Source organism: Homo sapiens, chromosome 16, assembly GCF_000001405.40.
Source record: "Homo sapiens chromosome 16, GRCh38.p14 Primary Assembly".
Classification (NCBI taxonomy): domain Eukaryota; kingdom Metazoa; phylum Chordata; class Mammalia; order Primates; family Hominidae; genus Homo; species Homo sapiens.
This window is the reverse complement of record NC_000016.10, coordinates 58,173,762-58,186,238: the sequence shown is the minus strand read 5'-3', so window position 1 is coordinate 58,186,238 and position 12,477 is coordinate 58,173,762. Positions and strand designations below refer to the sequence as shown.

The window sequence follows — 12,477 nt, the reverse complement described above, 5'->3', positions numbered from 1 at the left end:
GATAGACTAAAATATTTTTGTCAGTGCTCAGTTTGTAGCCATTTTAAATGTGCTGTTTAATTTTGTTTTCTCTCCCTAGGGAGTAACTTAACCTTAGGTGTTTTTGATTAGCTAAGGTTGGAGACACCTCACCTCCCCACTTTTGTACCCCTTCTTGTCCCATTGCTGTTCTCCACCTGCTGTACCTCAGATATTTCCCTGTTATCCTCCCATGATAGTTTTGTTTATTAAAGAAATAGGTTTTTGCTTCTGGCTGCTAAAGACATCCTCATAATAATATAGTAGCTAACATGCACTGAGTGCTTACTATGTGCTGGGCACATTCCAAGTGCCCAACTGTGCCATGTCACTCAGTCTTCACAACAGTCCATTGGGGTGGGTACCATTTATTGTTTACATTGTACAGATGAGAAAACCGTAGTTTGCAGAGGTTAAAAAATTCACTCAAGATTACACAGTATTGTTGAAGCATAAGGAAAGTTTTTCCTTCTGGACCCTGAGAAGACTGAGAAGGGAAGGGATGGTTGTATGCCAGATTGTAACTAATTGGCCTTTAAGATATCCTGTCCTTTTAGCACAAATTGATTTTATAATGACTAGTTCTGGACTGCCTCATGTTTGAAAATGGGCTGCATTAGAAATGAGTACCCATGGAAAAATGAGCACCGTGTAAAAATATGAATTTCAGAATAATTTTTAAAATGTGAGTCAGTATGTGGTATACCAGGAGCATTTTTGTTTTGCTTTTTCTTTTTTTAAGTTAGCAGAACTTAATTTGTTAAAGTATGTGTATGTTTTACATGATATGTAAGACAAGTAAGTTGAAGATGACAAAAATCAACAGGGACCCCTTGTCTATTAGAAGGTCAGGCTTACTCCACTATTCTCCCGTTGAGAGAAGTGGTAATACTGATGAAACCCTTACAGCTTCGGGCTGGTGAAGAATTTTTAATCATGGCTGCTACTGGGGCTGCTGTTTGGACTCTGAGTTGTCCTCGCAGAGATCTGCATGCTGCCCTGTGGCCTGTTTCCTAGGTAACTTTCACATGGTTCTTGAGCAAAGATTTCTAGATGTTTTTTTTTTTCTATAACCCCTTAAGTCCCTACTTTCTCCCAATTTTGAAAGCTTATTACTGCCAATTAGCGTTATTTTACTTCAATTAAGGAATCCTGTTATTTGAAAATCTAGATTTACACAAGATGATATTGAGCACTTTTGTACTCATTGGATTAAAGATTATAGTGCTTTAAAAATATTTGATTATATATGAGTTTTTAGGAACAGGTCTGCTTGATAAGATGAGACAATCTTTAATGGTCTCTAGCCAAGGCAATAATATTATAGTATAGCTTATTGATAATATCACGGATGGTTATATTTTCCTTTTGGACCCCCAAAAGACCTATGATACATTCCCACAACCTATGATAATTCTGTCAAGTGCAATTCTGGCTTGCTAAACTAAGATGAAAATGTGTCACTTTTTTTGTATATGGCAGACTGGAACACTGCAGGGTGTAAATCCTCACATAACCTTTGAAGATTGGTTAAGGCCATTGGTAGGTTATTCGGAGAATACATTCCTCTTAAAACTTTTTATTATGAAATTTTCAACCATTTTCAAAAGTAAATGAAAAATGTAATGAACTTCCCTCACACATGACCCAACTTTAGCAGTTAATCAGCTGTGGCCAACCTTGTTTCATCTATACTCCCACCACTTCCCACCTCCCACTATCCCCAGTTATTTTGAAGCAAATTCCAGACATCATAAAATTTCAAGAGAATACTTTTCTTGACAGGCTGTCCCTGATGAGTGAATCCCTGTGTTACCTAAGTAGGATTTGGGGATGGGCCATTTTGGCAGAAGCAGATTACATTGATTATTGTTTGGGTACTTAAAAAGCATTAATATTCTCTTTTACAGTCAAAGACACCAGCTTTGGTATTTGAATATATCAATAATACAGATTTTAAGGTGCGTATGCTTTTCTTTCTGGCATGGGGTTAACGGGGTGAGGGGGAGCTGGTGATAAATACTGTGTACTCCAGAACCCAAGGGGCCAGGGCTGTCATTGGTGAGAGGAGGAAATAACAAATTGGGTTCCTTAAGGCATGAGTGCAGGATGCAGAAAGTGGCTAGGGTTCTTGCATTAGGTGAAATTACTTAATCACCCTTTGCCTTGCCTACTCCAGGAGTAGCTGCTCGGCTGGGTCTAAGCTAATGCCTCATCTGTAACACTCCTGTTTTAGACAGCATAGCTTTAGTTGTATGTTAACTTTGCCTTTTGTACGAAATCTTACTTTGCCGAGAGGAAGGGATAGACCGATACAAGGCCCTTGTGAAAAGAAGCAATGCATTGGATTCAGTGCTGTCAAATAACAAAGTGTGTGTTTGCGCACGTGACGTACAAAGAAATGATTCAGAAAAACCAGAGTCAGTGCTTTAGAAGAGCCCTATCGGGTTTTTTACATTTTCTTATAATGTAAATTATTTTAGACATTGAAGTGTTCTTTTTAAATCATGGTTTTAAGCTCGTGTTTCACAAAATTTATTGTTCAAACATTAAAACCTTAATATCAAGGTTTTTGGGGTTAGGCATACTAGACATGGTGGAAACCCTTTTTTAGAACGTAATTTAAAAACCAATATACAAACAAAATAGTAGTGTTGATTTTCAGGGGCACTTGGAGGACTTGTAGTTGATTGTAACTCTGTCAGTGAATAAGAGACTTGTGATTTTGTTGTGACAGGAGCTAGAGACAAAACTAAATCAGCAGTTAAAAGATGTTGGTATCAGGACGGATGGTTCTGGGTAAAAGTAAGAGAACCTTATTCTCACACTTTTTTTTTTTTTTTGAGATCGAGTTTCGCTTTTGTCACCCAGGCAGGAGTGCAATGGTGTGATCTTGGCTCACTGCAACCTCTGTCTCCCGGGTTCAAGCGATTCTCCTGCCTCAGCCTCCCAAGTAGCTGAGATTACAGGCATGCACTACTACCCCCAGCTAATTTTTTTTTTTTAATTTTTAAATTTTTTTTAGCAGAGACGGGGTTTCACCATGTTGGCCAGGCTAGTCTCAAACTCCTGACCTCAGGTGATCCACCCACCTCGGCCTCCCAGAGGGCTGGGATTATAGGTGTGAGCCACTGTCGCGCCTGGCCTAATTTTTCTTAATCACTCTAAAATGACTAAAACAAGGTTAATTAGTGAAAAGTAAGCAAAAGAAGATATTTTGACTTATAAAACAATAAGGAAGTTTTATGTGTAGTATAGCACTTTCCCACATGTGACAGATTTTCTTGTTAATGTGACTCCTTACAGGTGAAATTAGCAGTGAACTCTAAAAAGCAGGGTGTAAATTTTTTCATTCAGTAGCATAACAGCGCTTAGCTGGTAGGGTACTATGCTGATATGTGTAGCTGATCCTATGAATCACCCAGGTTTATCCTGGTATATGTGAGTGGGAATGTGTGTGCATGTCTTAGAAAACCAGATAGGCTTTAATGAAACCAAATATTTTCCTAATGCAAAAGTTGAAACCTTATCTGAATGGAAGTTCGTAGTGTAATTCCCCAAGTTTTAAATGCCTGGGCTTCGTTAATGAGTTTTTACCAATTGTCTGCTACATGTGTAAAATTTCACCTCAGCATTTTGTGGTTTTGTTTTTTTTTTTTTTTTTTTGAGACGGAGCCTCGCTCTGTCGCCTAGGCTGGAGTGCAATAGCGCAATCTCGGCTCACTGCAACCTCCCCCTCCCAGGTTCAATCAATTCTCCTGCTTCAGCCTCCCAAGTAGCTGGGACTACAGGCGTGCACCACCACGCCTGGCTAGTTTTTTTTTTTTTTTTTTTTTTTTTTTTTTTGGTATATTTAGTAGAAATGGGGTTTTACCATGTTAACCAGGATGGTCTCGATGGCTTACCTCGTGATCCACCTGCCTTGGCCTCCCAAAGTGCTGGGATTACAAGCGTGAGCCACCGCACCTAGCCCATTTTCTGTTTCTTAAAGTGACATCTGCTCTGTTGATTTAACAACTGCTGAAGATCAGTTAGTGGGAATTCTAATTCTTAGAGAAATTCTCTCTGGGGTCTTAACCCTCAAAGGGGATGTTTCATACATTCTCTTGTAGCTTTCTTTAAAGGGATTATGGGAAATTAATGTTTTTTTGAAGCTTGCATATCTGAAGTCATTTTTATTTTGTCCTGCCAATTAATGTATTTGCTAGGGTATAGAGTTCTAGGTTATAATTCATAATTTCCTTGATTTTGAAGAGATTGTTCCAGTATTACCACTGAAGCCATTCTAGTTTCATCTTATGTGACGGTTTTGTTTTTGTTTTTTACCTCTGGAAGCTTTTAGGATTTTCTCATTTGCACTCTTCTGAAATTTCACAATGACGTGCCTTCGTATGGGTCCCTTTTATCTTTTGTTCTGCATACTTGCTGGGCTTTTTCCCCTGTGTTTTGGAAAAATATTTTTAATGTTCTTTGATTTTTCTCCCCTTTCTTCTTTGTTCTCACTTTCCAGAACTCATTCAAATGTTAGACTTCACATCTTACAGCTCCATTTTGGTCTTGGAACTTTTTAAAATAGTATCCTGTTCTTTTATGTTTTATGTAATACCTTCTATTTTCTCACTAAGAATATTGTATTTTTTCCCTTCATACTTTTTCTCTATTTTTCTTTGTGTGTGAGTTTTTGTTATTTTGTTATTCAGTCTCTGAAATATCATGGTTTTTGAATGTCTGCTCATTGCTCTAAAGAACCATCAGCCCCTGTCTCAAGGATGCAGGCTTGGCTGCTGGTATCTTAGCCTCAAGTTGAGGAGAACCATGGGGAATGTTGTGCAGACTTCACCTAAGTCTCCCCTTTTCAGTGTGGCATCTTAAACTCATTTTCCCGTTTCCGGTGCACTCTGTTTCCTCTCTTAAACCAACATTGGAGGTCCCCCGTCCTGAACATTTCTGAGGTTGTTCAGTTTGAAGCTGTTTGCTTTTGGCCTTTCGCTGTTGGCAGAGACATGTTTTCTAGCTTCACAATGTTGTTTCTCCTATCTTCTTAGTTCTTACGATTTAATCTCCCTGCTCCTTTTACGGTTATTTTAGAGGAGTTTCAGGTAGAGCAGAGGTGTTTGATCTGCCTTGTTTAACTGGAGGTCCCCTTTGAATGTTCAAGCCATGACATTTTAATCAAGAGATCATTAAATATCAGATGGCAGATGTGTATTTTTGAAGAGCAAATCATGGCAGGAAAATTAAATTCTTTTCCAGATAGTATGGCAGGCCACAAACAAAATCATTTAGTTCACCGTCGTGATGTCCTTTAGTCTTTTTATTTTGTCCTGTGTCCATCTTATTAGGAAAGTTTGTTTTTTTGTCTTTTTAATTTTAGTGTAAAGTATATTAATAACTGGTTTTAAGATTATCACCCAGAGAGTGTTCATTCCTCGTTAATACCAGGGTGAATTAACAGTGATGCAGCCCGCAGCCCATTCTTTTCAGTATTTTATATTTGTGCAATGGATTATAAATTTTGATCTATAATTTTATTTTGTCATAGGGTCCTTCTCTAAGTTTGCTATCAAGGTTATACTATATAAGATAGATTGGGTAGCTTTTCCTCTTCCTATTCTCTGAAAGTTTATGTAAGATAGGTATTATATGGATAGATGTCTTTCAAGGATGGGAGGAAGACTTTGAACTATACTTTCCTTTTTAAAACATAACTTAAAGTTTATCCAGGTTTTCTGTCTCTTCTTGAGTCTATTTGGATAATATATATTTTATTCACTTTCAATTTGATTGACAAAGAATTCTCTTAGGACTTAAAAACTATATTGTTGACTGGTCACAAAAAAAAAAAAAAACTCTGGAGTATCTGTAGTTATCCTTTCCTTCACATTTTTAAGTAGTATTTGTGCCTTTACTCCTTTTTAAATCAGTCGTGCTAGAGATCTGTCGTTAATCTTTTAAAAGAACCAGCTTTTTGGTTTTATTGCTCAGTTATTGTTTTTGTTTGTTTTTCTCTTTCTGCTCCTATCTTATTTTTCTTCTTTCTTCCTTCAACTTTGTTGGGCTTTCAGTGGTTTTCTTCTTCATTTCTTGAGTTGAATTAAACTCATTGGATTCTGTTTCTCTTTTTCTTTTTTTTTTTTTTTTTGAGAAGGAGTCTCGCTCTGTTGCCCAGGCTGGAGTGCAGTGGCACAGTCTTGGCTCAATGCAACCTCCGCCTCCTGGGTTCAAGTGATTCTCCTGCCTCAGCCTCCTGAGTAGCTGGGATTACAGGCGTGTGCCACCATGCCTGGCTAATTTTTGTATTTTTTAGTACAGACGGGGTTTCACCATGTTGGTCAGGCTAGTCTTGAACTGCTGAACTCATGACCCACCCGCCTTGGCCTCCCAAAGTGCTGGGATTACAGGTGTGGGCCACCACGCCTGGCCTTGATTTTGTTTTTCTTGACAATACATGTGCTTAAGTTTGTACAACCCTAAGCGTCATTTTACGTGTATCCCATGGTTATGGAACTCACTTCTGGATAGTTTTCAAACTAGAAGTGCAAACTGCAACATTGTGAATTTGCATTTTTCTCCGAAGACTTTTTACTTGGAAAATTGGAAGGAGTAGCACAATCAGTATATATTCTTCACCTAGATTTACCAGTTGTTACTGTTTTGCCACATTTGCAGTTATTTTTCTCCCTGTCCCCTCACCCTCTCTTTTCTTTCTTTTTTTTTTTTGAGACAGAGCCTCTATCTCTCACCCAGGCTGGAGTGCAGTGACCTGATCTTGGCTCACTGTAACCTCCGCCTCCTGGGTTCAAGCGATTCTCCTGCCTCAGGCTCCTGAGTAGCTGGGACTACAGGCGTGCACCACCACACCCAGCTAATTTTTTGTATTTTTAGTAGAAACAGGGTTCCACCATGTTGACCAGGCTGGTCTTGAACCCCTTACCTCAGGTGATCTGCCCACCTTGGCCTCCCAAAGTGCTGGGATTACAGGCTTGAGCCACCATGCTCAGCCTCTCCTTTCTATTTCTATTTTATCTTTTTGCTGAGTCATTTTAAATTAAGTTGCAGACATCATTATGATACGTCACTTGTAAATACGCTAGCACTGAAACTAGGCTGTTTTCCTATGCAAACCACAATACTTTTAGTATACCAAAGAAATTTAATATTTATACAATAATGCCATCTAAGATAAGTTCATACTCAAAAGTTTCTCTATAATTATTGTTTCAGTAATGTTCTTTATAGCTGTGTGTTTGTGAATGTGTGATCCAGAATCCAGGTGAATTTTTTAAAAATTTGATTGCACTATGTTCAGAGAACGTGACCTATATAATGTTAATTATTTGGAATTTGTTGATGGTTGCTTTGTAACTTTAGTACATGATCATTTGTTATACCAAGTGTGTTAATTTAGTTCAGAATTATGGCCTACTAATTTTTTTCCTTGTATTTCACTTTATGGTAGAGGTATTGGTTTGGTCAGTTTCTCCTTAAAATCAGCAGTTTTTATGCTTCATATATGCCAAAACTGTAATAAAGATACTTTAGAACAAGACAAAACTTCGAAACGAATGAATGAGAAAAGTCAGTCTCTAAGAGTTGGACTGAATAATTGTAGCAACCTCCCATACTTAAAAGTGTCTCAGGCCGGGTGCGGTGGCTCATGCCTGTAATCCCAGCATTTTGGGAGGCCGAAGCAGGCAGATCACCTGAGGTCGGGAGTTAGAGACCAGCCTGACCAACATGGCAAAACCCCGTCACTAAAAATACAAAAAAATTCGGCGGGCTATGGTGCACGCCTGTAGTCCCAGCTACTCAGGAGGCAGAGGTAGGAGAATCACGTGAACCCGAGGGGGCAGAGGTTGCAGTGAGCAGAGATCTTGCCATTGCACTCCAGCCTGGGCAACAGAGTGAGACTCCATCTCAATTGAAAGAAAAAAAAAGCGCCTCAAGAGAAGCTAAGGTACTATTTTGAAATACAAAAAAAAAAAAAAGATTTCGATAAGACACTCCAAATGGGCTCCATCCTAAGAAGCTGGTAGAATCATATTGATATTTGGAGGATTTCTAAATCACTCACATAGAGGTAAATCACCACTTAGTAAATAATGTGAGGCCTTGTTAATTCTGTTAGAGGTTGAGTTTACAGACTAAATAGTTTCCTTAATTGGAGAAACAAATTGTACTTTTATATTATGTCGTGTATGTTATTATAGGTCGTTAACATTATTTTGTCATTTCCTTGTAGGAAAATAAGTGACATTTTCAGGGGATTCGTAATAACTTTGATCTGCTTGATTAAAGATTTATTCTACTTCCTTAAATTTCTAAAAACGTTGACCTCGGTTTTATTCTGGAACTTAGAGGTTACATGTAAACAATTCTTAAACTGGTGACTGCTACAGTAAATACCTCTTTTGCTTGGACTTTATGTATCCCACCACTTTTTCTTCTCTCTACACATGACAGGGATTTATGGGCATAGACTGAGCTGTGTATATCAGGGAATGTGCACACACTGTGTGGCTTGAGAGTTTGGTGTGTTGGTGATTCCCACATCTGGCAGGTGACCAGAGCTGCCTGGGAAGCTGTCTTATAAAAGTGTGAATCTTCCTGAAGGTCATGGTTGGGAATGGGGTCTTCAGATCTGTGGCTCATGGTGATGCAGCTGAATTGCACTTGGAGTCTGAACAGCTGTGTGTATGCCTACGGTAGCAGTGAGGCCCACCTGTGGCCATGCCTTTGTGGGTGTCTGTGGTTTTACACCATGGAGGCCCTCCTCAGACTTTTTGGAGCTAATTAAAAGGCCCAGGAAATTTCCACCTTTTAAGTCATTTATTTTTTGAAAATGTAACCAAAGCTGACTTCCTGCCAGCATTTTGCAGTGGATTGTTTAATAATGTTCTCCCTGTAGCTGGCTAAGAAGAAGGGAGAGAAAGTGTAGTTCTTGTGACGTTTCTCTTTCTAATGTGTCATGGACTCTTGGTACTTCTGTTTCTTGGAAGAGTGCTTCTGTTTTGTTCCATTGACTGTGAACATTGTAAAAACATGTATGCAAGACAGAGCTGCCATACATGGTGTTTGGTGTATGAAGCACTTGCTTTTCGGCTGTGTGAGGACTTCATATGTGGTTGGAGTTCAGTGTAGGAAATGGGTGTGGTACTGAGTGAGTTGTTCAGTGGGCCCTTGGCATACTTGGGTGGTGGGGAGAGTTCAGAGATCTTTTATCACCAAATTTGATGACTCTGCCACCAGCCACTGTACCCATTTCTCCCTGTTGTGTATGCCACGAAGCACAGGGAATGTTGGCATGAGACTCTTGGGGTCTGGACAAAGCACGCAGCAGAGTGAGGAGTCACCTTGAGAACCTGAGGTTACCACCAGTCCCTGTGTGAGGAATGTTAACTCTGGGGACATTGTGTTCTTAATGGTGTCCTGTGCACAGCCACATTGGAGAGTCAGTGGCATGGAGATAGAGAAGGGAGGTATCATTGTCAGCTCTGTAGAAAGCAGACAGGTTGGTTTTGGCTTTACAGGCTAAGGTGGAGTAGGGCTAGAGAGGGAAGAGTGGAGGCAGCAAACACGGGCTTGTTTTGTCAGAGCTGTGGACTCCTGGGGGTACAGTGAAGAACAGAGCTACAAAAGTCGGAGGAAGCCAGACTGTGGACCCTGCATAGTCTTGAATTTTGGGCCCAGGCGGTTAAATGTTACAGATGTAGTTTGGTCTCCTCCTACCCGGAGATCCTGAGAAGTGAGGGTGAATGGCAACCAGTCACTTGGGACTTTGTAATATCTTAGTCCTAAACACTAGTGTACAACTGGTGTCTTTGAATTAAATTGTTAATGGTTTTTGTAGCTAGAAATACTGTGTTGGCAGTCCAGAGACATTTATTTTTATGGCTTACACCATTTATACAGATGCATGGTGTAGGTACCACATGATGAGGGAGGCCTTCCACAGATAAAAGTCCTAATGAGATAGCCCATGTTAGTTTTCTGGAAATAAAATATTCCAGCCCTCTAAGGGTTAGAAAATTAGATCTTTTCTCTTTCATAGCGTATTTATTGACTTGAAGTTCAATTTAGCCTAGTCTCTGTGAGTGATTTCCTTAACTCACAGAGGAGGAGCTGCTTTGACACCCAAGAGATGGCATCTTAAGCCTGTCTTTACATTCAAGCTGTCAGTGTGCAGCCAAGTCCTGGCTAAGAAGCCTTCTTGCAGCAGAGCTGGGAGAAGAACAAAAAGCTTGGGTGTGTGTTATGTAGCTGAAGCTCTCCTGAGCAGAAGTGGTGGCTTGTTGGTGTTGTTCTGCCTGAATGGGGGTCAGCTGTAGCCAGGGCCAGCCACCCAACCCCACAACACCATGTACTGGCCTGTGCATTTCGTTCCCTGCGCTGCCCTGAGGTTGATGAAATCAAATATTTTTCCTAAGCTGGCAGGGGGAATTACTCTTACCTAAAGGGGGAAACTTGAGAAAGCAAAGACCTGGTATTCTTAGAAAATGTTAAATTTGGTTCTTGGCAAATTTGATTTTTTTATTAAATTTTTTTGAACATTATATGTGGATCAAAAATATAAAATGGTAGACAGTGAAAAGTCTCTTTTATTCCCCTGTATTCCAGCTGCCTATTCCTTTACACATATATACGTGAAACCAGTTTTTATTACTTCTGTATCATTTTTGCAGATACAGAAAATATGGATGTATAGTTTTTATTTTCCCCCTTATTACAGAGACACATTATATACACTGTTCTGTGTTCCCTGGAGAGATTCCCTACATTGCTTGAGTCTCTCTTTCAATAGAAGAACAAGAGAAGTTTAATAAAGGTGTGTTTCTTAATTTTATAGAAAGCATGGCTTGGATTGATGGGAAAACAGATTTACATGGATTTGATTGGATATCAAAGATAATGAGAGTTCCTGACAAGGGTTTATGATGCCTTTAATGAAGCTTGTAGCATTAATGTATTCTGACTCTTAGAAATTTTTTAAAAACTCCCAGCGAGTGGGTCTCTGGATTACCAATAATGAAAACTTCCATTTACCTATCAGTTTGGCCAGTGATCATTTTTGATACCCCTGTCTTTTTTCACTCCTAAGACGTCAGGTGTTGCCTGTGAAATGTTCTTTTTTTCCAGTCTGGAATTGGTTTCCGGGGAGCAGAGGGTATAGATTTTTTTGTAAGCTCTTGCCATCTGCAAATGCTATAGCACCTCCTTTTTCCTTATTTTTCTTTTTTGAGAACAGCCTGTGTCGCCACTGTTTTACCACAGTAGCCCATGAAGTTCTTCAGAGCTCTGCCATCCACTCAGAACTCACTTCTCTAGAGTATACTGTGGTGTTACAGTGGGGTTAGTTTTCTTGATGTTCGGTAAGAATGTGAAGACAGACAACTTAGACTTCACAATGGTGTAATTGTGGTTAATAATTGTAATTGGCAAAATCACAGAGCATTAAATAGGAAAGATCTGAGTTGGCTTAAATGTTTTTCTCCCTTGGAATTCCTTCCATTTTTTTTTTTCTTCTCTTCTGATGATTAAAATATAAAACCTTCATCTTTAGTCTTCCCATTTATTTCAGATCAGGTAGTAAAAAAGTCATGGGATTCCTTAGTCACTTAAGTATCAAATAAGCTTAGAGAATGGCCTGCACTTAGGATGACAAGATGCAGTGAGACTAAATTAACTTTCTGTTTTCTGGAATCTGTTTCAGCAACTCTACCAGATCCTGACAGACTTTGATATCCGGTTTTATATGTATGAACTACTTAAAGTAAGTGGTGTTCATAAACCATTAATTTTTTTCAGGCCTGTTCATTAAAAGATAAGTTTTTGAGAGAACAAAGAGAACTTAAGCAGAATGTTTCTTGATACCCAGAGGATTTAGTGAAGTTTTTAAACTTATATTGAGGCCTCCATCGAGGAATCTTCACATAGAAACTTTCCAGTGGAACTGGGAAAAAAGTGGCCAAGTCAAGGGGTACCAGGGACATTATACCTTAGAACCTCCCATAGCTCTTGTTGGTCCATATGTTTTCTCTTTGCTGCTTTATTAATACCTACTGTGAATGTAACAAATCATCCCAAACTTAATGACTTTTAAAAAATGATTATTGTTTCTTATAATTGAGTTAGCCAGGTGATTCTTTAGGTCTCAGTTGATTTGACTGGGGCAGGATGGTCCAGGATGACCTCATTCACAATCTAGGACCACAGCTGGGGCAGCAGGGATAGCTGAGGTCTCATCCTCCAGCCTGTGAAGTTCATGCTGCTTCCCATGGTGGTCCTCCTGGGGTTCCTAGCAGCAGAGAGAGGGAAACCTCAATGTATAGGCACTTTTCAACCCTCTACCTGTGTCATATTTGCTAATAACCCTATTGGCCAAAGCAAATCACATGGCCAAGCCTAGCTTCAAAGCATGGAAAAACCGACTCCACTCTTGATGGGAAAAGCATTGAATAT

The 12,477-nt window shown here is 39.4% G+C and overlaps 1 protein-coding gene across 3 annotated transcripts in view; it reads left to right on the top strand.

Moving 5' to 3' along the window:
- The window catches only part of CSNK2A2 (casein kinase 2 alpha 2), a 40,200-nt gene that overhangs the window by 11,868 nt on the left and 15,855 nt on the right, over positions 1-12,477 (top strand). For all 3 annotated transcript variants that reach the window (NM_001896.4, XM_047433626.1, XM_005255801.4), the window contains 2 exons: positions 1,929-1,979; positions 11,729-11,788. In NM_001896.4, coding sequence (NP_001887.1) covers positions 1,929-1,979; positions 11,729-11,788 — 111 coding nt within the window. The remainder of the gene's footprint in view (positions 1-1,928; positions 1,980-11,728; positions 11,789-12,477) is intronic.